General features: G+C 41.0%; 1 protein-coding gene across 57 annotated transcripts in view; it reads left to right on the top strand.

Annotated features, from left to right (window-relative positions):
- SYTL2 (synaptotagmin like 2) overlaps positions 1-27,017 on the top strand; it is a 160,642-nt gene that overhangs the window by 52,875 nt on the left and 80,750 nt on the right. The window contains exon 2 of one of the 57 annotated variants that reach the window (NM_001394449.1): positions 13,023-13,122. The exons of the other annotated variants lie outside the window; for them this stretch is intronic. The gene's annotated coding sequence lies outside the window, so the exon portion shown is untranslated. The remainder of the gene's footprint in view (positions 1-13,022; positions 13,123-27,017) is intronic. 57 annotated transcript variants of the gene reach the window in all.

Below are 27,017 nucleotides of genomic sequence, written 5' to 3'. Positions count from 1 at the left end.
AAAAATACAAAAACTTAGCCGGGCATGGTGGTGGGTGCCTGTAATCCCAGCTACTCTGGAGGCTGAGGCAGGAGTATCGCTTGAACCTGGGAGGTGGAGTTTGCAGTGAGCCGAGATCGCGCCATTGCACTCCAGCGACAGTGTAAGACTCCATCTGAAAAAAAAAAAAAAAAGAACGGGGAAGAGACTACTGAGTTGGCACACAGGACAGGTAAATTATGGTTGGTGGCGCTGCTAATGTAGTGGAGTTTCACCAAAGACCAAAGGTGAAATGAGGCTACAATCTGACCCTTTATCTTGGAGGCTGCCCTTTATCTTTGAAGTTTCTCAATATTGTAAGTGAGATAATGAAATTTCTCTTTAGGATAATAACACTGCTCACAGTATGAAAGATGGGTTTGGGGTTGATTGGCATACTTGTTTGCACTTGTGTGTACAGAGGAGATAACATATATTAAAGCTTTTTTGGTAAAAGGTAATGGTACTTGTAGAGATGGTGCTGCTATTCAAGACTTCTATAGGAGAGTACATAATGTGTTGGAAAATGGTGACTCCATATGCTAATTTATGGACTGGATCACATTGGAGCCAAATTGTTCCAAAAATATAAATATGTCTTACCTTGAGTTAAGCATGTTTACCACTTTTCAACAAAGGACCAGGTGTGTTTCTGGCAAAATGATTGAAGCTTGAATCCAGAAAAAAAAAGTTTAAGGCCCCTTTTTGTATTTCCAAAATTGAGTTTAAGGTTCTAGGGATAGTAGATACCTAATGCATGCTGAATTTGGTTAGTGCTTTGTAGAATTTCTTGTGCTTAGCATGCACTATTGTGGTTAGCAGCTGTTGAGTTTCTTAGAGGGAGGAGCAGAGAGGCTCAGACTACAAAACTATCATCTATGGGAAATGGCAAGAAGCTAGGTGGCCCTTCTCCCTAAGCAGTCAGGATCAGACCCAGGTACACACAGATGTGTGTTTCTGTGTTTCTAGCCCTGTGTTTATGTTTTCCGGATAGTTGCCTGCTTTATCTATGCTGGAGGGAAAACCCGACATTACCTGGGTTCCTTGGGGAAAGCCACTGGGGAGATTAGCCTTGGTTACTAGAGGTGCCTCAATGTGAAGACAGTCACCTGCATCTGCACTTGAACTATTAATAATGTGTGGCCAGGAGCCAAGGGTGTGGAGGAGACGTGGCTCTACCGGTCAGATTCTGCAGGGGACAGATGTGACCCTGTTGTGGAACTGAGCACAGGTATTTGCTTGGTGTGTGAGGAAGTGAGGAGGGAGTGGATGTGTTTGTTTTTTTCCTTCTCTGGCATACTTTTTCCAAGTCCACTCTCTCAGCAGCCAGGAACTAAAAGCAAGTCTTGGGCTGACATTCAGTGCATAGGGAGTAAGTTGTACCTTTTAAATTCCTGGGGGCCAGGCATAGTGGCTCATTCCTGTAATCTCAGCAGTTTGGGAGGCTGAGGTGGGAGGATTGCTTGAACCCAGGAGTTTGAGACCAGCCTGAGCAACATAGCAAGACCCCATCTCTACAGAAAAATAGAAAAAAATTAGCAGGGCATGTTGGTGCACACCTGTAGTCCCAGCTACTCAGGAGGCTGAAGTGGGAGGATCACTTGAGCCTGGGATATCAAGGGTGCAGTGAGCCATGATTGTGCTGCTGAACTCCAGCCTGGGCGGCAGAAACCCAGGAAACTCTTGGAGACATCCTACATTGGGGTTTTGGAATACTAGACCTTTGAACCTGGACTCTTTCATGTGCCAATCCCCAAGCCCTTTCACTGTGTTAGTCAAGTCTCAGTCTAGTCCTTTGATAGATTCTGGTTTGGTCTCTTTACTTTGAGACCAAAGCACCAAAACTGATGAACTGTGTGTGGGAATGGTTAGGTCCTTGAGGGTGTGTTTGTGTGCATCACTACCTGTAGATGCAGTGACCAAGGGTGTGAGCTTAGTTTAATACTTAAGTATGGTATGATTGATCTTTACAGAAAATCTCTTGCTATTCTCTTTAAACTATTATTAAACAGTGAACATTTGTTGATAAAAGGGTCAGCATGCTGTAGTGGGAAGAATATCAGATTTAGAGGCAAGAGTTAATTTATTTGATAGATACTCACTGAGTGTTTTCTATGTTTGTGTGCCAAATTGTTTTAGGCTCAGAGTCCAGTGGGGAAAATAGATATCTGTAATTACCACTCAGTGTGATGTTCATAGTCAGATGTGAGCACAGAGGAAGGAGGTGGGGTGGTAAGAGGGAAGGGAGATCAAGTGCCAAGGTAGGGCTTCCTGGAAGAGGTGGCATTTGAGAGGCGATCTGGGTGAATAAGAATCAGAAGGTCAAAAGGCTGGGAAATAGCATGGCAAGCATGGTTTCATGTTCAAGGTAAGGCTGGCAGGAGCTGAGGCCAGTGAAGTAGGTAGTGGGCTGATCATGAAGAGTGTAGTACATGTTATTAAGGAGATTGGATGCTTTTTATGGACTTTTAGTCCCTTTTGTTGAGCTCTTCCTAACCCTGTTTCTAACTCTGAAATCCTAGCTGTTCTTAAAACTGCAGCTCTATGCTAATTCTTCCTGAAATCTTCCTGGTTCATCATGGCAGGAAGTTTTCTTTCCCTCCTCTAACTGGTTTAGTGTTCGGCTTATACCTCTTTTATGGCCATCATCACATACCACTGTGTGTTATCATTCTTTATGTCCTCATCTTATCTTCCCTTTTGTTCCAAAAGTTCTTAGAGCGCTGGGACTAAAGGGACTTACTATTTCCTTAATGCCCAAAGCCCAGAAGGCTGAGATAGTACAAGTGTGTTAAATGAATATATTTTGAAGTGCTAAGTTATGTTCCCTGTCTTTTTAAGGTTTTTAGTACATTGATGGGCTTTAAGAATTTAGTGGTCAATGGGCAGTTATCAATTAATTAGATATTTGGCTTTTTATTCTCATGTGTGCAGAAAAGAATTAACATAGTGGGTGTGAAACTGCCTGTCCATAGAAAGGCCTGCTTGCAAGTTGGCCTTTGGCTGGCATTAGGGAACTTGGATTTCAGGAGGATTCCCACAAATCTAAATGATTGAGTAGCTCACTGTGCCTAAACTGTTTGTGCAAGCAATATGGTTTATGCCGAGCACCTGCTTTTCTTCTGGGAGTCTGGAATTTGGGTACATGCCAGGGAAGGGGTGCCTACATGACTTGTCCCCATTAAAAACTCTGGGCACTGAATCTCTAATGAACAGTCTGGTTGGTAACATTTCAGATGCATTGTCACAACTTGTGTGTCCAGTGTGACTCCTCTTGGAGAAGACCCGTGGGAGCTCCCACCCAGTTTTATGCAGACTTCACCCCACGCACCTTTTTCCATTGTTGAGTTTGCTTTGTATCTTTTCACTGTAATAAGTCATAGCTGTGAATATGACTGTATGTTGTCCTGTTGAGTTATCCTAGTGAATCATCAAACCTGGGACTGGACTTGGAGATCCCTTCAACGCACCATGAAATGCCACATATGTGAAGCCAATTGTTTTTTATTTTTGGTTTGTTTTTGGCTAAGACTCTGAAGATATTAAAGACTCTGAGAAGTTATTGGTCTTTACATAAGAGAAGGGCCCATTTCTCAAGACGCTATGTATTTAGGCATGTGAAGAAGGTGCTTAAGAAAGTTTCACGGGTTTCTCTTGTCATTCCGTAAACCAAATCACATTTCACCTTTTAGAAATAAGTGTCAAGCTTTAAAATTTCAAACTTTGAGAGTGTCAGAAGCTGTGATGATCCGTTTGTTTGAAAATGAACAGGGAATGGGAGGGCTGACAAAAAAACTGAACTTGAGATCAGTGGGTATAGGCTGGGTGCAGTGGCTCACGCCTGTAATCCCAGCACTTTGGGAAGCTGAGGCAGGTGGATCACTTGAGGTCAGGAGTTTGAAACCAGTCTGGCCAACATGGTGAAACCCCATCTCTATTGAAAATGAAAAAAAAAAAAATAGCTGGCATAGTGGTGTGCACCTGTAATCCCAGCTACTCGGGAGGCTGAGGCAGGAGAATCTCTTGAACCTGGGAGGTAAAGGTTGCAGTGAGCCGACATTGCACCACTGCACTCCAGCCTGGGTGACAGAGTGAGACTCCTTCTCAAGCAGCAAGAACAACAACAACAACAACAACAAAAACTTTGTGGTCTTGAGATCAGTGGGTATAGACTAAGGTATGGTATGAGATAGATGAGTGGCCAGGTGGGGTATGGCCAGCTGGGGAAGCTGTGTATAAACACAGACTTCTTAAGATTTTATTAGATCACATAGGCTGTAGCTGACAAAAGGGACAATAATAATAAAGACTAATGTTTTCTTTTTCTTTTTCTTTTCTTTTTTTTTTTTTTGAGAAGGAGTCTCGCTCTGTCTCCCAGGCTGGAGTACAGTGGCTGATCTCAGCTCACTGCAATGTCTGCCTCCTAGGTTCAAATGATTCTTGTGCCTCAGCTTCCCAAGTAACTGGGATTACAGATGCCTGCCACCATGCCCAGCTAATTTTTGTATTTTCAGTAGAGACGGGGTTTCACCATGTTGGCCAGGCTGGTCTCGAATTCCTGACCTCAAGGGATCCTCCCACCTCAGCCTCCCAAAGTGCTGGGATTACAGGTGTGAGCCACTGCTCCTGGCCAAAAAAGACTAACATTTTCTAATATAACATTTGTATAGAACTTTACAGTTTTCAAAATGTTTTCACATACAATATCATTTAATGCTAAAATAATCCTATAAGGTAGGAAGTATTATTAGTTTCCACAGCTAGGGAAACTATAATTCAGAAGAACTGAATAGCTTGCCCAGAGTAATATGGTCGGTTTGAGCTGCACACCTGTAGTCCTAGCTATTCAGCCTTGACCTCCTGGGCTCGAGCAATCCTCCTGCCTCAGCCTTCTGAGTAGCTAGGACTACAGGTGCATGCCACTGCACCTGGATCATTTAAAATTTTTTTTTATAGAGATGGGGTATTGCTATGTTGCCCAGGCTGCTCTTGAATGCCTGGGCCCAAGCGATCCTCCAGCCTTGGCCTCCTAAGGTGCTGGGATTGCAGGCGTGAGCCCAAATTCAATCCTTTTGATTTTAAACCTAGATCCTGGGAAATATAAGAACTATAAAGTCTCTTAGCTTCCTGATATATTTAAGTTTATTTAAAAGTATATATCAGTCAAGTCTCAGACCTGACAGATATTACTGAATGAATGAAAAGAAGTTGAGGCAAATTGCCTACTTTCACTCTGTGCCATCCTGTGTATAGATTGTGGGGAAACAGTTGATCTTTCTTTTTAGAAGCTGCATTTGGGATTTGGATAGAAAGAGACTAGAACAGAGGAGCTGGGAGGATGTGGGCTCCAGTTCCAAAGCTCATGGTACTCTGCAGGAGAAAGTTGAAGCCTTCTTGATTGCCCACTGTAAGATCTGGGTGACAAAGAGCTATTGGAGAAGGTTTGGTTGCATTTTTCATAATATCTCAGATACTGTCAGAGTCCTAAAAATATCACTTATCAGAATTAGACTCTTAGAAAAATGAGGGGCAATATTTGCCTCGGATTCACTTTCATTATTTCTCTAAATCAGGGGAGGAGTTCTTGGGACATTTTTCCTGCCCCAAAATAAGAGTTGGTCAGAGCATATATCGTGTTAAGTTTCTATGGTGTGTCAGATATCAGCTGGGTGTTTAACGTGAATCATCCTTTTAATTCTTACAAAGATCTTCAAAGGTAGAAATTTGATGCCATATAACCTAGATAAGAAAAATTAGACTTGGAGAAGTTAAATATTTGCCCAGAGTCTCACAGCTTTTAAGGGGTAGCCCTGGAATTCAAGCTCAAGCCCGACTCCCAAGTCAGTGCTCTTTTTCTTCCCTGTGCTGCCTGAACACAATGATGCAACTTCATAAAATAATAATCATTAGATCAGTTCTTATGTAAGTGGTTAAATCTAACCTGAGCCTCAGTGAATGTTAAGGCTCTTCTATGAAGAAGTTTAAGCTTCTGGTGCCTACTCAGAGTTTTTACAGCAGGAGATTCCCCTGGTGATGATGGCTTATGTGTATGCTCTGTGCTTGTGTGTCACCTTTCCTGAGTCCTTTGGGATTTCCAGAGTGGCAGCCTTCCCAGCACTATTTGCAGTTTGGTAGATATGAGGGAAGGGGAGTTGTGGCCTGCTCTGTCAGTTTGCTGATTTCAGAGCCAGCTCACCTGAAGTCATCCTTTCTTGCAGATATTTGGCAAAAACTCATCTGGGAATAATCTGCTTTATCAAATTTAAAAAGGTGAAAATTTTTATATTGTAGAAATATAAGGAAGAAGATAGAAATAGATGGTTTGGAGTGGCTTTTACTATTCTTGTTAGTTTCATCCTGGAAAATGTTTCCTATGTAACTTTTTCTTTTTTTAACATAAGCAGCACATTATAGTAAAAAACAAAAAACACGGCCTTGGGCTCTAGAAAATACAGTGAAAGTGCTGATCATGAACAAATAAATTTTTGGTACACTGCCTGGCACAGACTAGGGATACAATTAACATTTGTTAAATGAGTGCAACTCAGGCTACTGGGCGTAAGTATCTGGCCTTTTCTGCTGCCCAAATCACAGAGCAGCCCAGACCCCAGTTCACATTAGTGTGCTCTGGCTGAGAGGGTTCAGTTTTTTTTTAGATCTGATGGTGAGCCTGGAGCCAGGCCATCATCATTTCAGAAAATAAAATGCAAGCATTATTCCTTGGGGGGATGTGACTTTATTTGGGGGGCTGAAAATAAACTTAGCGGTGGTGGTAGTAATAATAACAGCTAATACTTATATTAGCTAATATAAGTATTACAGCTAATACAAGGTTCACTATGGACTCATGCTAGACTAAGTCTTTTATACATACAAGTGCATGTAATCCTTATAACACAATTTTAAGTAGATATTTTACCAGTGAGGAAGCTAAGTAACTTGCCCAAGGCCACACAGTGGGCAATACTTCTGAAATGTAAATGTGGAGACCGAAGTACAGCCACTTAACCTCTCCTTAGTGATATTGTAAAGGAATGGGAAGCTAGGCATTTTGAAAGACCATCTCTTTATTGTTTTTTCTTGGTTTTCTTTATTAGAAAAAAATGATGAAGGGATCTACTTTCCATGAATTCCTGGAGCAATTCCTGGAAATTCTGCTTTTCTTTTACTTCTGTATAAACCTCAAATGAACTTTTCTTTTCAGAAAGAAATACAAATTCAATTTCATGTTTGAGACTTACTTCCTGTACGTCCCCAGCAATATAATGATTTTTTTTCCTCCCTTCAAATACCAGACAAATAGCAGAAATCAAGCCCAAGCAAGTAGAAAAGTCTTGATAAATGCAAGTTTCCTCACCAAGGGATAATTCATGGAGAGATGTGATGCCCATTTGAGAATCTGGATTCTTTTGAGTTTGGTGATATGAAAGTCTCTTTTGTGACCTTGAGAAAGTGGGAGGTTTTGTTATTTGTTCTGTTGTCCTTTAAAATTTAAAACTGGCTGGGCGTGGTGGCTCGTGACTGTAATCCCAGCACTTTGGGAGGCTGAGGTGTGAGGATCACTTGAGGCCTGAGGTTTGAGACACCCTGGAAACATAGGGAGAACCTGTCTCTAGAAAAAAAATTTAAAAATTAGCTGGATGTAATGGCATGTGCCTCTAGTCTCAGCTACTTGGGAGGCTGAGGCAGGAGGATTGCTTAAACCCAGGAGTTTGAAGTTACAGTGAGCCATAACTGTGCTGTTGCACTTCAGCCTGGGTGACAGAAAGAGGCCCTGTCTCTAAAAAAAGAAAAAAAAATTTAAATCTGGCCAGGCAAGGTGGCTTATGCCTGTAATCCTGGCACTTTGGGAGGCTGAGGTGGGAGAGTTGCTTGAGCCCAGGAGTTCAAGACCAGCCTGGGCAGCATAGTGAGACCCTGTCTCTACAAGAAAAAAAAACTGAATCTGCTCTTTTGAATCTTTGGAGGATGGGGATTGAGGGATTGTGTGCTCTTTTCTCTAATGAATTGCATAACAGCATTAAAGATGGCAAAGCATTAACTTCTTTTTTTGACTTATTTTTCATACCACATAGTTATATTTAATTAAATATTTTCCAGGGTTCATATCTGTATGAGGGAAGATATGACTAAAACAATGTGGAAATGCAATTGCTTGCCAAATTAAAGCTACAGATTCTCCAACCTTTTTTGGGTAATAGGATTTTTCATTTGTGCAGAACTAAATAATGTGACAGCTGTGAGATTTTAACCATGGATATGCCTATTTCTTTGTCTGTTGGAACAATTTCCATGACAGGAAGTGTTGAGAGCATGTCCTTCATTTTTAAGGACAGGTTATAAAATATTGGTTATGAGATATCTCAAATTAAATTTCATGGATGTTATCAGAGTTTGAGGTGGCTGAAACTTTTCTCCCTGTCTGCCTCTTTGAGAAATTTTTAAATTCAAAGTCCCTGAACAGGAAAAAGAAAACTGTTCATCTTTAAAACATAAAATATTATGATAAGAGTTCTCAAATTATTTCCTTCCTTAAAGGTATTTGTATTTTGAAATAAAGAAGACATGATAAAAGCTCTGAAACTATGCTCACCATCACTGGCTGTCAGAGAAATGCAAATCAAAACTACAATGAGATACCATCTCACACCAGTTAGAATGGCAATCATTAAAAAGTCAGGAAACAACAGGTGCTGGAGAGGATGTGGAGAAATAGGAACACTTCTACACTGTTGGTGGGACTGTAAACTAGTTCAACCATTGTGGAAGTCAGTGTGGCGATTCCTCAGGGATCTAGAACTAGAAATACCATTTGACCCAGCCATCCCATTACTGGGTATATACCCAAAGGACTATAAATCATGCTGCTATAAAGACACATGCACACGTATGTTTATTGCGGCACTATTCACGATAGCAAAGACTTGGAACCAACCCAAATGTTCAACAATGATAGACTGGATTAAGAAAATGTGGCACATATACACCATGGAATACTATGCAGCCATAAAAAATGATGAGTTCATGTCCTTTGTAGGGACATGGATGAAATTGGAAATCATCATTCTCAGTAAACTATCGCAAGAACAAAAACCCAAACACTGCATGTTCTCACTCATAGGTGGGAATTGAACAGTGAGAACACATGGACACAGGAAGGGGATCATCACACTCTGGGGACTGTTGTGGGGTGTGGGGAGCGGGGAGGGATAGCTTTAGGAGATCTACCTAATGCTAAATGACGAGTTAATGGGTGCAGCACACCAGCATGGCACATGTATACATATGTAACTAACCTGCACATTGTGCACATGTACCCTAAAACTTAAAGTATAATAATAATAAAATTAAAAAAAAAAGCTCTGAAACTAAGAATCTTAGGTGGGGGTGGTATTTATTAATCATTTGCTTCTGTGATTTCTTTTGTGGAATTATTTTTACTTACTGGTTTATTGTTTCCAAGGAGTGCTTGTTTGAAGAAGAAAAAATAACTTTCTGCAACTTCAGAGTGACACATTTCATAGGTCCCCCATTCAGAGATGGTTTTCATTAAATGGGCTCCAAAGTTAATCTACAAGTTAAGAGAGAAATGAACATCCTTGACTTAGAACATAGAAAAGCCAAGTGACATTTGGCTTGCAATTGCCTCCACTGCCCTGTCAGATAGTCTATTCTTAACTACCCCGTTAGGGTGGGTTTGAGAGAACTCTATTGGCAGAGCCCCAAGTCACCCCTAATTTGAAGATCACCACCCACTAGAGGCTGGGTTGGTGTCATGGTTTCCCAAGTAAGTCATGTCCTCTTCAGTGATTCAAAGTCTGACCTCCTACAGAGCAATAGGCTTTCCCTGGAGCAGACTATACCCCTCATCTAACCATTTTTTTTGTCTAACTTCCTGTGACTCTTACTGGGTACATCCCCAAATTTTGTATGTAGTAATAATCTGTTCTATACAATTCGCCAGTTATATACTTTCTATAGGTTCAGTTTTCTCAGCTAGATGGTCAGCTCATCAAGGTTATTAATCCCTTTCTCTTGCAACTTTTGTAATCCTATCGCAGCTGCTGGTAGAATTCCCAGGAAATGAGATTGGGAGTTATGGGCCTTTCTCAGTTACAAGATGTTGAGAAAGCAAGCAGCTCTTTGCTGCATGTATTCCCTTCCTTATGGCTCCAAGTTTAGACATATGACTCCACATGAGTTATTCCAAACATCTTGCTAACCACATGACTCCATCTGGGCCATTGACTTATGTTAGAAGAGAGGGAGTCAAAAGAGTCTTCAGGTACGTATTTGAAGAGCTATTGCAGGCACATTGGAAAACAACTGTTTGCTGTGTTCACAATGGATAGTAGTACAAAAGGGAACAGATGGCAGTTAGATGGTAAAAACTTAGATGATAAGGAACTGGTTGACCTTTAGAACAGGAAAGATGTTTAGAGTTCATCATCCCAATCCTCATTATATGGATGAGATACTGAGGCTGAGGCTGGCTGAATGTTAAGTCCAGGCTCACAAAGCTAGTGAGTCACATAGCTAGGTATTGAATTGGTGTCTTTGAACTTGCTGTTTAATGTTTTTCTGTATCTCTCTACTCCCAATCCTTAATCATTGCAAAGATTGTGGCTAGTTGCTAAGGTGCTGTACCCAGCAAAGCTGAGTGAGGGCTCTTTCTTTGTGGAATTTTGTATATTTTTAAGTTAAAAGTCTAAATCATTGTCTTCCTGGGAGGTACAAGTAAAGTAAGATATTTTCTGTGAGCCAGAATATTTACTAAGGTTGTTTTTTTTTTTTTTTTTTTTTTTTTTTTTGAGGCAGACTCTAGCTCTGCTGCCCAGGCTGGAGTGCAGTGGCGTGATCTTGGCTCATTGCAACCTCCGTCTCTGGGGTTCAAGCAATTTTCCTGCCTCCGCCTCCCAAGTAGCCGGGATTACAGGTGTGCATCACCATGCCCGGCTAATTTTTTTTGTATTTTTAGTAGAAACGAGGTTTCACTGTGTTGGTCAAGCTGGTCTCAAACTCCTGACCCCAGGTGATCTACCTGCCTCAGCCTCCCAAAATGTTGGGATTACAGACATGAGCCACCACGCCCAGCCTACTGATATTTCTTTTTTATTGGAAGATACACATTTGTTCACATGAACATTTCTTCTGCTGCATTTCATCTCTTCACATTAAAGTGGTTTCCAGGTCCTATGTTTATCTCTTCTGCTGTGGAATTGTGATCTGGGAGGACCTGCCAGCACCATAGGGCACATCCCAGTTATCCTGAACAGACAAGCGAGAATCTTCAAGTTTGTTCTTTATTTCTAACATGTAGAATCCCTGGAATCATGGGAAGCTACTGGGAGCCTGTCTTTGAAATACAGGTGAACCTGGAATGGGAGAGAAGGCACAGGGTTGGGCACATTGTAGGTACTTAATAAATAATTGTTGAACAAATAAATTATACTTCTCCTCACCTCTTCTCTTATAATTATGGAGCTGGGGAACCTAAAGACAAATCCAGTCTAACTTTTATAGTTATGCTTTATATTATGCAGTAAAGCAAGTGAAGTCTAGAAATGTTAAGTGACTTGTTAAAATTCATACAGCTAGTCAGGGGTTGTGCTTGGGATAGGCTTAGGTCATTCTGTCTCTTGATATTATATTAGGTTGAACCAAGTGAAATTGCTATTTCTGTAGGTCAAAACAGTTGTATACAGGTTGAGCATCTCTAATCTGAAATCCAAAATGTTCCAAAACCTAAACATTTTGAGCCCTGACATGACCCTACAAGTGGAAAATTCCACACCTGGCATCTTCACTTTCTGATGATTCAGTGTACACAAACTTTGTTCTATGCACAAAAGTATTAAAAATATTATAAAAAATTACCTTCAGGCTGTGTGTATAAGGTGTATATGAGACAAACGAATCTGGGTTTAGTCTTGGGTCTCATCCCCAAGATATCTTATATATATGCAAATATTCCAAAATCTGAAAAAAAATCCAAAAATCCCAAACAGTTCTGATCCCAAGCATTTTGGATAAGGGATACTCAACCGGTATTGGCAATTTAATACTGGTTCACCCTAATATGTTTTGAAGGATCTATACTGTATACATTCTTATTTCAATAATAGAAATCATAACTTTGGCCTTCTCTCTAAACCAAGCAAGCATATAATATTACAGCTTAATGTAGAGATCCACATTTGTTCGGAATCTGTTGATCCTGGGTTTACATCCCTTGTTCTTTCTAAGCTGAAGTTTCCTCATCAATAGAATAGGAATAATATTATGTGCATCACTCATAAGATTGTTTAAAAGATTGAGATGATTCTTTGAAGGGCTTAGTATAGTACCTGGCACATAGTAAGTACCTAATAAGTATATGCTATTGTTAATTGTATCAAAAAGGAAGAGAATAAAACTGATAAGGCTTTCAAAATGTATAATTTGGCCAGGGGCGGTGGAAGATACATGTAATCCCAACACTTTGGGAGGCCAAGGTGAGAGGCTTGCTTGAGCCCAGGAGTTCAAAACCAGCCTGTGCAAGATAGGGAGACTTTGTCTCTACAAAAAAAAAAAAAATTATATATATATATATATATATACATATATATATATATATATATATATATATATATATATACACACACACACACACATACACACACACATCATATAAATAAATAAATATATATATATATACACACACACACACATACATCAGCCAGGTATGGTGGTGTGTGCCTGTAGTCCCAGCTACTCAGGAGGCTGAGATGGGAGGATTGCTTGAGCCCAGGAGGTCGAGGCTGCAGTGAGCTAGGATTGTGCCTGGGCAACAGAGTGAGACCCTATCTCAAAATGATAAATAAATATATAAATAAATAAAATGTGTAATTTTTCTGGAAAGAACATTCATCTTTTTGAGGTTTGCAAGATATGCCAAACCTTTGTTGTCTAACAGGGACATATCTTTATATTATCTCTATTTCATATTCTTCTGCTTGTTATAGGGAACATGTGTGGAATGATATTCTATTTTTGAGACCGTTGCTTTGACACATGTGCTGTGTGCCACACAAGATTATTATGATAGAAGTAAAGCAACCAAATGTGAGTATGCAGAATGAGACCATGAGCTCTATAAAGGGAGGGGACATTCTGTGTCTCAGTCATGGATGATTCCTTCTCATTTCCTTTCTTTTTTTTTTATAATTATAGAATAATTTTACTTGTAATGCATATTGTCAAAAATCTCATCCTAGAGGCCTTCTACAGATAATTAAGGTCAGAGCAGCTATTGACAAAGAGGAAGGGAAAAGGAATGTTAGCTATTTTACTATGATGTAATGGATGCCTTAGAAACCTGGATGAACTAAGGGTCTCTGGAACCCAGAAGGTACATTTCCACACTCATTATTAAAGGTGATGTGATTACTTTGGCAAGTTTCCAGACTTTTGCATGGTGTCTTTTTCACAACTTGTGTATATTTCACAGCTTCACAACATATTTATAAGCAATTGGTTCAACTAATAGAAAACATGCTATTTACTTCCCTTATCTTTGGGATCTGACACTAACTCTGCAACTTACTGTTTCTGTACCCCATTTTCTTACCTAAAAGGAGGTTAATAATATGACTCATCTCACAAACTTGTTGCGAAGACTGAATAAGATAAAGCGTGCAAAGTCTTAAGAAGAAGACATGGCATTTAGTAACTAATAAAAAATGTCACCTCTCTCAGTATCATTATTACCTTAGAAAAAGTCCTTCTCATTTTCATCAGAGGCCAGGCACATAGTTAGGGTTCAAAATGCAGTTGACAAACTGACTGAATTAGCATAGTCTTTAAAAACTGGACCCTGGAACCATATCCCCTGTTTGTCCTTCCCTGCCCCATGGGTAAGCAAATATCTCCACTGCCTGGGCTCAGGAGACACCCATGTGTAAAGTATTTCTCAGATAACTACTCATGACCCGGTGACACATCAAGAGCAAATATATTTTCAGACAGCTGCACACTTGGAGGAAAAGTTACCACCCTTGGGTAAGAACAGACTAGGGCATTCCCAGCCCTGAGAAGGAAGCAGTAGATATTTCCTGAGTACAAGTAGCTTTCACAGCAGAGAAAATAAACAGAGGCCCCTTCTCCTTCCTTTCCATACCTCTAGCCCACCATTCTTAGAGGCCAGTAGACTTTTCAGGTGTCTTCCTCCATTATCTAGGCTGCCTTGGGTATGAATATACTAAATACCATAAAAATACAAAAAAAAAAAAAAAAAAGGAAAAGAAAAAAAAACAGAAAAAAGAAATAAACCATTGGGGAGGAGACCAAGCCCAAGACAAGTTGCTTTCTGAAGTGATGTAGTGGGAGAGGACTTGCGGTACAGTCCTAACAGCTACCCACAAATGCCCTTGTCATCTTCCACTTGAACTTGTCTCTTCCCATTTACTCCATCCTCTATCTACATTTACTTTGTCCACACTACTTTGCCACTGGAAATGTAAGCAAAGTTTGATCTTTAGAGGAAGATGCTACATGAATACAACACTGGTTACTTATTTATAAAAAACCATAAAGTTACTAAGAAATGGCTGCTATTTTGAGCTATGAGGTGAGCACTAGTTCCTGGAAGTATCTATGGAAGGGTGAAAACATTTAGTGATCATCTAGTGAGGGTGACATTGAGCAAGGCCTTTTATGAACACCATGTCTCCTTCACATAGCAGCCTTGCAGAAATAAATATTATCCCACATTTTACAAATGGGAAATCGCAGGTTCAGAGAAATAAGCTGGCACAAGAACACACAAGAAATAATTAGGGCAGATCTCTAAACAAAGCTATGTATGCACTTGCTACTACAGCAGGCTCGGATCCTCTCCCCAGGCCTGTGAGGCAGGTGGGCACACCTATTGCTGACCTTTTGAAGTTGAGAAAATTGGAGCAAAAACATTGTGAATTTTCAGCTTATCTGGTTCTACTATGATGAGAAAGTTCATCCATCCATTCATTTGCTTATCCATTTATTAAAAGCACTTTTATTCAGGCTCTACTCTGGGTTGAGCATTGTGCTAGGCACTGAGAGGGTATCAAACAGGTATAAAACATGGGCTCTCATGGTAAGTAAGAATGCTTACTTCATGACCTTTTATCCCAGATATGGAGATAAGAGTCCTGAAATATTTGTTTTTAATATAAGAGCAAAATTTAGGTTGTGTGAAAAACAATTGGTGCATTGGAAGTTTAAAGGAAGTTAGAGATGCCTCTAAACTCCCCATAGAGAGCTCTGTGGAGGTGGTTAAGTTTTATGTGTTGATGCCCCCTCTCTCGACCTGCCATGCACACACATACACACACTCTCAAACTGGTAGTGCTGATGGTAGCAGAGGAGAGGTCGCTTCAGAATGTTTTTAAATTAATCTTTTTATTTTGAGACAATTGTAGATCACATGAGGCTGTAAGAAATAGTGCAGAGATCCGTGTACCCTTTACCCAGTTTCCCCTATGGTAACATTTTGTACAACTATAGTATATCACAACTCAGATATTGGCATAGACTTTTTCCAGTTTACTAATGTGTGTGTGCATATGGGCCTGTGTGTATTAAGTTGTATACAATTTTATCACATGTGTCAACCATCACTGGCCAGATACTGACCAGTTACACCACCACAGATTCTTTCCATTTGTTCTTTGATAATCACACCCACCTCCCTACAGCCTCCACAGCCCCCATCCCTAACCCCTATCAACCACTAATCTGTTCTTCATTTCTATAATTTTGCCATTTCAAGAGTGTCATATAAACAGAACCATGCAGTAGTGGCCTTTTAGGATTGGCCTTTTTATATTTAGCACAATTCCCTTGAGATTCATCCAAGTTGTGTCTATCAAGAGTTTTTCCTTTTTGTTGCTTAGTAGTATCCCACGGTATGGATGTACCAGAGTTTGTTTAACCATTCACCTGTTGAAGAGCACTGGGGTTATTTCTAATTTTTGGCTATTACAAATAAAGCTGGAATGAACAGGACTTTTTTAAACATAGTATTATGTAACATAGTCAGGTCTAACCTTAGGCAGAGCGTGAAGTGGAAGTCACTGTCATTCCTTCCTTGGGAATATTTTATTCTTTCATTTAGCACTCATTCAACAGGTATTTTTTGAGCTAGGCATTGTGCTACTTACATTCTACTGAGAAATAGATGAGTGAAAATCTGTTGACTCTCAGGCTTCATACATCTTAATATGTAGCTTCTTTGGAGGAAAACAGCCAGTCCAGACCATGAGCCTCATTTAAGCTCCTGCGGACTCTGATTGACCTTGAGAGTTAAAACTTGGGGAGTATACCTTCTTTAATTCTCCTGAGCCAACTCATATTTTCTGTAAGATTTCATGATGATTCAAATTCTCATTAAAAATCTTAAAAATTAGTGTTTTGAATTATTTTAGAAACAGAAATGGAAGAAGTTTCTGCAACAATTGTTTTAAGATCTGTTTTTCTTTTTATAAAACTGTTAGACAAGGATTTTTACTTTTAGGAAGATAGTAAACACTTTCTGAATAATAGTTAAGGGAAAAGGCAAAATCCCACTTTTCCTTCTGTTTTCCGTACCTGACGGGGGTTCATTTCTGGCTGTCCTGGGTCCAGCTGTGTTGCTTGCTTGAGCTCATCCTGAAACTCTGTCCTATCCATTTTGGTATTTAGTTAATGTCTTTTCATTTTAGTTTTGTTGAGAATTACAAAAACCTTTATCCTGAGGTGAAAGACTGAATTCCACAGAGGGGACCTCATTGGTGTTTTGCCTTCCAGCTCTTAGCTGGGCACTCAAGTCCTTTTCACTCAGCGACCATACATGGTTGTGGTTTCCATGTGGAATGGGTGTGGCATTTCTCTTGGCTCAAATTTCCCCTTTCTCACCTCCCACTTCTCCCTCTCTACCTTGAAGCCTCTTCTGATTGGTTTAATGAGAAATAATACCCAAATAAGAAGATACCGCATTAAATACATGCAAGTGCTGATGTGTTGCTGCCGGCAGCCACAGGCTGTGGTGTGAGTAACTAGTGATTCCGAGGATGAAAGAAATCAGTTTATAAATCTCAATGATAGGAACATTTTTTTTTCTTTACCCCTTACCAGCTCTGTGGAATTGTGGAAAGAAATTGAAGACCAGGATTCAAGATGATGTATTTTTTGTATAATTCTTTGCGTGTGTGTGAATGTTAAAGGCTGGCAATTTCCTATGCTTCTAATGTGCATAGATTTAATAAAACGAACATGTAATAAAGTTAAGCTGCATGATGATATCATTTATTTCCCTTGTATCTCAGCCTAAATAGTAGTGGCATTTGAAAGCCATTATGTTAGAGAATAATATAATTATGGACCCTGAATTTGAAGTAAAGCAATTCAGCCTTACTATTCTCCTTGATCTCCTTTGATGTTTACTTCCACTTGTTTTTCTTCTTCTCTTCTATCTAAGATGGAAGGAAGAAAACCAGTAAGACAGAGAATATCATATCTTTAGATGGGATTTTTTTTCTTCACATCTCTGTTATTTTACTTATTCTTTTTTGCAAGACATTAATGAGGTTTACCATAATTTTTTTTTTTTCTATTTTGGTGGCTTTGGTTTCCTAATGGGAGAATACAGCAGAAGGAATTTGAGGCGTTAGTGGTTCATAGCCTAGAAAGCTCTGTTTTCAAACCATTGCATTGCACCGTCTCTGTCATTAAATATTGCAAAGCATAGTCTCAGCTGAATTCACTGAATGTCTTTCCTGGGGGAAATGCTGCTTTTCTCCTCTGTCAGGGTCTCTAGAAAGGTGAGGGTTCTGCCAGGTTTAAGAAAGATGAATTTCCAGTTACCTTGTGAAGGTTGATTTCAGGACTCTGTTCTGGGTCATACTAGGAAGCCTGCCATGGGCACATGGCACGTGGTTGTTGTGGCCAAGTAATGCCCATCAGATAGGTAAAGACCTCCTCTTCCTGGGCTGCCTGGGGAAGTCCAGTCTGAGGAAATCTGTGGCCAGAATCTGAGCCAGAGATCAGAAAATGAGCCAGGCCACAGAGTGTGCAGGGATCATAGAGAAAGGAGCAAGAAGAGCCAAGGACTGAAAAATGTACAACCCAAGCCACCTGGAGAATGATTCTGTGCTTTGTGACACTTCTGTCCAAGAAGGCAGCATGGGGTGGAAGCACAGAGCATGGACACTGGAATTGGACAATCTGGCTGGAGTTGTGCTGCCATTACTAGCAGTTAACTGAGTAATGAGCAGTTACTTGGCCTCTCTAAACCTGTTTTCTTATCTGTAGAATGCTTACTTCATGTTGCTGTGAGAAATTAATGAGTTAATATATGTAAGGTACTTAAAACCGTGCCTAGAATATTCTGTTATGTAAGACTTTGATAGTCTTATTGTTTTTATTAACTAATATTAACTATTTTTGCCTAGTTTGCTATATACCATCAAGAACAAGGGTGTTAGGATATATGAAGAACCAGAGTTCTATATATAAAAATCAAAGTGTTTTATATGGTTTGGCTATGTCCCCACCGAAATATCATCTTGAATTGTAGTTCCCATAATCCCCACCTGTTGTGGGAGGGACTTGATGGGAGGTAATTGAATCATGGGGGTGGTTACCTCTATGCTGCTATTCTAGTGATAGTGAGTGAGTTCTCACGAGATCTGATGGCTTTATAAGGGGCTTTCCCCCTTTTGCTTGGCACTTCTCCTTGCTGCCACCATGTAAAAAAGGACATGTTTGCTTCCCCTTCTGTCATGATCGTAAGTTTCCCGAGGCCTCCCCAGCCACATGGAACTGTAAGTCCATTAAACCTTTTTCCTTTATAAGTTACCCAGTCTCGGGTATGTCTTTATTAGCAGCATAAGAATGGACTAATACAGTGATTTGGTACTGGGAGTGGGTTGCTGCTGTAAAGATATCCAAAAATGTGGAAGCGGCTTTGGAACTGTGTAACAGACAGAGGTTGGAACAGTTTGGAGGGCTCTGAAGAAGAAAGGAAAATGTGAGAAAGTTTGGAACTTCCTAGAGACTTGTTGAATGGTTTTGACCAAAATGCTGATATTGATGTGGACAACGAAGTCCAGATTGAGGTGGTCTCAGATGGAGATGAAGAACTTGTTGGGAACTGGAGCAAAGCTCATCATGCTTTGGTAAAGAGACTGGTGGCATTTTGCCCCTGTCTTAGAGATTTGAACTAGAGAGAGATGAAACTTTGAACTTGAGAGAGATGATTAGGATATCTGTAAGAAGAAATTTCTAAGCGGTAAAGTGTTCAAGATGTGACCTGAATGCTGTTAAAAGCATTCAGTTTTATGTATTCACAAAGATATGGTTTGGAATTGGAACTTACGTTTAAAAAAGAAGCAGAGCATAAAAGTTTGGAGAATTTGCAGCCTGACTGTGTGACAGAAAAGAAAAAACCATTTTCTGGAGAGAAATTCAAGCTGGCTGCATACATTTGCATAAGTAATGAGGAACCAAATGTTAATCAGCAAGACAATGGGGAAAATGTCTCCAGGGCATGTCAGAGACCTTCACAGCAGCCCCCCCACCCATCACAGGTCTGGAGGCCTAGGAAGGGAAAATGGTTTCCTGGGCTGGGTCCAGGGCCCCCCTGCTGTGTGCAGCCTCTAGGACTTGTTGGTGCCCTCCATCCCAGCTACTCCAGCCATGGCTTAAAGAGACCAAGGTACAGCTCAAGTTGTTACTTCAGAGGTTGTAAGCCCCAAGCCTTGGCAGCTTCCACATGGTTTTGAGCCTACCAGTGCACAGAAGTCAAGAATTGACGTTTGGGAACGTCCACCTAGATTTCAGAGGATGTGTGGAAATGCCTGATGTCTAGGCAGAAGTTTTCTGCAGGGGTGGGACTCTCATGGAGAACCTCTGCTAGGGCAGTGCAGAAGGGAACTGTGGGGTTGGAGACCCCACACCCAGTCCCCACTGGGGCACTGCCTAGTGGAGCTGTGAGAAGAGGGCTACTATCCTCCAGACCCCAGAATGGTAGATCCACCAACACTTGCACTGTGTGCCTGGAAAAGCTGTAGACACTCAATGCCAGCCTGTGAAAGCAGTTGGGAGGGGGTGCTGTATCCTACAAAGCCACAGGGGTGGAGTTGCGCAAGGCTGTGGGAGCCAACCTTTTGCATCAGCATGACCTAGATATGAGACATGGAGATCTCAAAGGAGATCATTTTGGAGCTTTAAGATTTGACTGCCCTACTGGATTTTGGACTTGCCTGGGGCCTGTTGCCCCTTCATTTCTGCCAACTTTTCCCATTTAGAATGGGTGTATTTACCCAATGCCTGTACCCTCATTGTATCCAGGAAGTAATTAACTTCCTTTTGATTTTACAGGCTCATAAGTATAAGGGACTTGGTTTGTCTCAGATGAGTCTTTGAACTGTGGGCTTCTGAGTTAATGCTGAAATGAGTTAAGAATTTGTGGGACTGTTGGGAGGGCATAACTGGTTTTGAAATGTGAGGACATGAGATTTTGGAGGGGCCAGGGCAGAATGATATGGTTTGGCTGTGTCCCCACCCTAATCTCATCTTGAATTGTAGTTCTCATAATCCCTGTGTGCTGTGGGAGGGACTTGGTGGGAGGTAATTGAATCATGGGGGTGATTACCCCCATGCCGCTGTTCTAGTGACAGTGAGTCAGTTCTTACAAGATCTGATGGTTTTATAAGGGGCTTTTTCCCCTTTTGCTTAGCACTTCTCCTTGCTGCTACCATGTGAAGAAGGATGTGTTTGCTTCCCCTTCTGTCATGATTGTAAGTTTCCTGAGGCCTCCCCAGCCATGCTGAACTTTGAGTCAATTAAACCTCTTTCCTTTATAAATTACCCAGTCTTAGGTATGTCTTCATTAGCAGCATTGGAATGGACTACTGCAGTGTTCTTCCTATTCTCTACTCACCACAGCGCAGAACACTTCTGTACCCCAGATGTGCAGGGGTTTTCCCCACACATACCAAGCAAGCAATCAGTTCTACAGCAAACACCAGCTGGGTATCCTCTAATTCAATTCAATTCTGACATTGCCTAACTGAAGATAGCATCAGATCTCACAGGCTGAGGGCCCAGTCCCACAAGACTGTCCCTAATTCAGATGCCAATCGCAAGTAATAGGTTGTCACCTATATTTCTGATTGACTGACTGTAAATTGGATTTCTCACTACTCCTTTTTTTGGGTTTGACTAATTCACTAGAATGTTACAGAACTCAGAGAAAAACTTTACTTGTATTTACCAGTTTATTATAAAGGATATTGCAAAGGATATGGATGAACAGCCAGATAGAAGAAATGCATAGGGCAAAGTATGGGAGAAGGGGCATGGAGCTTCCATGTGTTCAGCTAACAAGAAGCTCTTCAAACCCAATCCCTTTGGGATTTTATGGCAGCTTCGTTACATAGGCGTGACTGATTAAACCAATGGACACAGTGATTAGCTTAACCTTTGTGCTGGCAGGGACCTCTCTTCTCCCCAGAGACTGGGGCTTTGGACTGAAAAGTTTAATCATGCTTTAGTCTTTATTGTGACCAGCCCCCATTCTGAAGCTACCTAGTGGCTGCCAGCCACCAGTTATCACCTTAGCATACAAAAGACACTCTTATCACTCCAGAGATTCCAAGGGTTTTAGGAGCTATGTACCAGGAAAAGAGAACAAAGATATTTCACAATATCACAGAGAGACATTTCATTTGGTGGAAAATTATCCTACTCTTTAGATGAGCATAAGCACTATTGAAAGAATGACTGTTGCTTGCTTGACTACAGACTTTGGGATGGTTTTACTCTGGGCTTTGAAATGCAATAAGAGGTATAGGGCCATAGTTCATTGTAGACAAATTCTGCTGTGGCCTGAATTGTCTTCTTTCACCAGTGTGAGTCACAGCATTTTATCGTCAGAAGGAGTCTATGTGAGAGATCATCCTTTTTAGTTCCCTCACTTTGCAGATGAGGAGATAGAAGCTTCAGAAGGTTAAGTGACTTGCCCAGCATCACATAGCAAGAGAGAGAGACTGAGCTGGGAGCAAAGTTGACCTTGCCTAATCCCTGGACAGTGTTCTTTCTCTAGTACACACCAGTTTTCTAAAATCATGGCCCCTCTCTTCAGTGAGATGTACCTAACAAGTCTTCTCACACAGTATGTCCTTAGGAAGTATTTACTGATTGATCTTTGTTGATTAAAAATTTATAAAATGACTGTTTTTCTTCTTCTGAAACTGAAGATTGTTTTACCTAAATATTTTCAGTTTTCCATGATAGTGTGACCTTTTTTAAGTCCTACTTCTGCTAGGGAAAAAAAAAAACACTTGATGAGTTTTATCTGTTCCATATGTTTATAGCTTTTGAAATGAACATTTGAAATTCCATTATGTCAGTTTGTAGATAGTAACTTATATCTATAATATATCCATATATACACATATCTATACACAACATAGTAATTAAGAGCACATATGGAGGTGAAATTATTCTGCTTCTCTGAACCCAGTTCCTCTTTTGTGAAATAGGAATGATAATGACACTTTCCTTACAGTGTTGGACTGAGGATTTGGGGAGATAGCCCGTGTAAGTGTTCCAGACTGGTGGCTCTTCATAGAAATAATAGCAATAGCAATAACTTCACATGTAATCCTGCTGTCCCCCTCCCAATAAACAACCACATCTGAACCAAAATACCCTTGTTAGAACACTCTTCTATGGCAAAGGGATGCCTTATTTTACTACCTGGGGATGAGGATCCTGGTTTTATCATCACTTAGCAGCCACCGAGCCTAATTTTCTATGTAATAATAGGTCAAGAGGTTTTCACGATTTCATAAATTGGTTGCAAATGACTGAGAACTAAATGTATAGTAGTTTTTATGTATATAGATGTATATGTTATATAATATATATAGTATAGTACACTACAGAATATATAGATTCTATATTTTGTTTTTATTTTATTCATGTATTTGTTTCTTGAGACAAGGTCTGGCTCTATCACCCAGGCTTGAGTGCAGTGGGGCAATCTCCTCTCACCGCAACCTCTGCCTCCCAGTCTCAAGCCATTCTCCCACCTCAGCCTCTCAAGTAGCTGGGACTACTTGGCATGCACCACTACACCTAGCTAATTTTTGTATTTTCTGTAGAGATAGGGTTTTGCCACGTGGCCCAGGCTGGTCTCAAACTTGTGAGCTTAAGTGATCCGCCTGACTCAGCCTCCCAAAGTGCTGGGATTACAAGTGTGAGCCACTGCACGCCCAGCCTTATTTTAAATAGATAGTGCATGCATGTGTCTATGCTACTCCTCTTCACTAAGCTTAGACATTGTTAGGCACTTGCTCAAGGATAAGTCTTCAAGACTTCAGTGGTGCATGTCTACAGGTCTTGCTGCCTTCTGTTGAGTTGCTCAAGATGCCAGAATGGCTGAAAAGATGCTAGAACTGGTTCTGCTTTCTAACTTGGGAGCTCTGCTTCTCTTTGGTCACTGCATTCACTCTGCAATTAGTACCGGGTACTGTTGTGATGGAAAAGACGGTTTAAATTCTCTTTGGTAGAAAGTCACTTTCAGCTTCGAGTCCAAACTCCAAAACCACTCCTGGGTAACACTATCAAATAGTCCTGGGCTCTACCCCATCCCCACTGCTTGCTAATTGCTTTGGGGGGTGAGGGGATGGGGTAAGGGTGAGGGAGGATTGTTTAATCTTATCATAACCTACATTGTATGAATTACACCTGTGAATTTCATCTCAGAACCCTTGGTGAAATTGTTTGAAGTGTTACTTGATGAAAATAAATTGGAATCTGCAGGTTGACTAAAGTCTCACTAGTAAGAAGACCGGCCGGGCATGATGGTTCCTGCCTGTAATCCCAGCAGTTTGGGAGGCCGAGGCGGGCAGATCACCTGAGGTCAGGCGTTGGAGACCAGCCTGGCCAACGTGGTGAAACCCCATCTTCACTAAAAATACAAAAAGTAGCCTGCATGGTGGTGGGCACCTGTAGTCCCATCTACTCGGGAGGCTGAGGCAGGAGAATCACTTGAATAGGGAGTCAGAGGTTGCAGTGAGCCGAGATTATGCCATTGCACTCCAGCCTGGGCAACAAGAGCAAAACTCGGTCTCAAAAAAAAAAAAAAAAAAAAAAAAAGAAGTAAGACCTGTAATTCTGGTAAGTGAAACCTTAGGATTCCTATGACCTAAGTTTTACTCTTCTTGTGTCTGAAGCCTACTCTGTTAAGGACCTCTACCTGATTCCAGAGTCCCAATTCCTGTTTTTTGGTAGTTTTTTTTCTTTTTCTTTTTTTTGGCAGGGGGTGTGGGTTGGGGGGGGATTAAATCCCATTCTTTTAGTGTACAGAGCCTGGGCCTGTTTTATAATCCCTTCTATAATTTTGATGCTTTATCTTCACCTTGAAATCTTTTCTAGCCATTCCCCTCCTCTCCCTTCGTGCCTCAGAAGCAGGTTCAGGGTGCTCATTAATTACATTCTTGAGTGTTGGTAGCAATGAATGCAGTCTGGGAAGGTAGGCTTGCTGTACAGGCATGTGATAAGTCACACCTGCAGAGAGGAATACCTTGACTAAAAGGCCAATTAGCTCAGACACTTTTGGTAATGGTCAAGAGTGCCAAGATTAGTTGTTTTCACCTTCACTCAGTGGTACAGATTACATGTTCTTAACCCCATGTTAGCCCTCTTCCTGATACTTACTGTTACTGCCAAGGGAAAAGTAGGGCTTGGGGCCACCCATTTCTGCTACCAAGAAAAATACTCAGAGCATACACATGCTAATTACTGAGGTGACTAAAGAATGTCCACTTCTTCAATGAAAGACAATGCTCTTTTGTGTATGTAGGAAAATAGATGTCCTTTTGTTTTCCTGTACTCCACCCTCTCCAAAGCTGTACTATGCTGTCTTCTGCATTGAATTCAGTGAGTTGGCATGTGACTTGTCTGAATCTTTCCCCCTGTCCAAAGCTCAGGTTAAGTCTTACCTCACCCTGGTTTTTGCCCTGATCTCTTCACTACCCCTCTAACCACAGAGCTGACACTTAAATACACCCCATTGTCTTACTCCATTTTGTGTTGCTATAAAGAAATACCCGAAGCTGGGTAATTTATTTTTTAAAAAAGGTTTGTGGTGATTCCTCAAGGATCTAGAACTAGAAATATCATTTGACCCAGCAATCCCATTACTGGGCATATACCCAAAGGATTATAAGTCATTCTACAATAAAGACACATGCACACGCATGTTTATTGCATCACTATTCACAATAGCAAAGACTTGGAACCAGCCCAAATGTCCATCAGTGATAGACTGGATTAAGAAAATGTGGCACATATACAGCATGGATACTATGCAGCCACAAAAAAGGGATGAGTTCATGTCCTTTGCAGGGACATGGATGAAGCTGGAAACCATCATTCTCAGCAAACTATCACAAGATCAGAAAATCAAACACCACACGTTCTCACTCATAAATGAGAGTTGAACAATGAGAACAGATGGACACAGGGAGGGGAACATAACACACCGGGGCCTGTTGCGCGGTGGGAGGCTAGGGGAGGGATAACATTAGGAGAAATACCTAATGTAGATGACGGGTTGATGGGTGCAGCAAACCATGGCATGTGTATACCTATGTAACAAAACTGCATGTTCTGCACATGTAATCCAGAACTTAATAATAATAAAAGGTTTATTTGGCTCATGATTCTGATGGCTGGGAAGTTCAAGATTGGGCATCTATATCTGGTGAGGACCTTCAGCTGCTTCCACTCCTAGAGGAAGGCAGAAGGGGAGCCAGCTGTGCAGAGATCACTTGGCAAGAGAGGAAGCAAAGGGTGAGAGAACTGGGTAGCTCTTTTTAAAACAATCAGCTCTCAAGGGAACTAATAGAGTGAGGACTCACTCATCTTCTGAAGGAGAGTATTAATCTATTTGTGAGGGATCTACCCCCATCACCAAAACACCTGCCATTAGGCCGTACCTCCATCATTGGGATTAAATTTCAATATGAGATTTGGAGGGATAAACATCCAAACCATAGCACCCATTGCTTTTAGTTCTTCTCTTCCTTTACAAATGTGTTCTCAGCTCTGTCACTTAACACCTGTGTGATCTTGGCTAAGCCACTTGACCTTGCTGAACCTCAGTTTTCATATCAATAAAAGGGTGGGCTGGGCATGGTGGTTTATACCCGTAATCCTAGCACTTTGGGAGGCTGAGGCGGGCAGATTACTTGAGGTCAGGAGTTCAAGATCAGCCTGGTCAACATGGTGAAACCCGTCTTAGTAAAAATACAAAAATTAGCCAGGCGTGGTCGCACATGCATGTAATTCCAGCTGCTCTGGACGCTGGGGCAGGAGAATCACTTGAACCCAGGAGGTGGAGGCTGGAGTGTGCCGAGATAGCGCCACTGTACTCTAGCCTGGATGATAGAGTGGGACTCTGTCTCTAAATAAATAAATAAATAAATGGGGGATTATGAAGATACTTATTCCTATCCGCTCTACCTACCTCCCAAGAAGGGTTGTGAAGAGTACGTGTGCTACAGTACAGTGTAAACCCCCAACATTGTACAAATGGGAGCTATTATTATTGCTGTGGGCCAATATGTTCTTCACAACAGGAACCAGGTCTTAGGACTTAATAGTTGTACCCATTGTGCCTAGCTTAATCCCAAACAGAGGATACTGTCATTCAGGAAGGAGGGAGGGAGGGACAGAAAGAAGAAAAGAAAGACTTTTGTTAGGTTTTATACCCTATTTTCCTAATTATTCTCTCCTTCACTGTAGTGATGTCTTATGAAAAGTGTTTAGTTTCTAAAAAGGCTTTGCACTGGGCAGCAGGGTGACATTTTTCTCCAGTAGTCTGCCTATTCATCTCTTTCTCCCTAAGCTAGCTTGGTGATGGTGTTGGCATTCATTTTGTCATTTGATTTTATGTCCATGAGAAAAAAAAAAACAGGAAGGCACCT

This window comes from Homo sapiens, chromosome 11 (assembly GCF_000001405.40).
Source record: "Homo sapiens chromosome 11, GRCh38.p14 Primary Assembly".
Taxonomy (NCBI): Eukaryota; Metazoa; Chordata; class Mammalia; order Primates; family Hominidae; genus Homo; species Homo sapiens.
The sequence above is the reverse complement of the archived record's forward strand: the minus strand, read 5'-3'. Positions and strand labels throughout refer to the sequence as shown.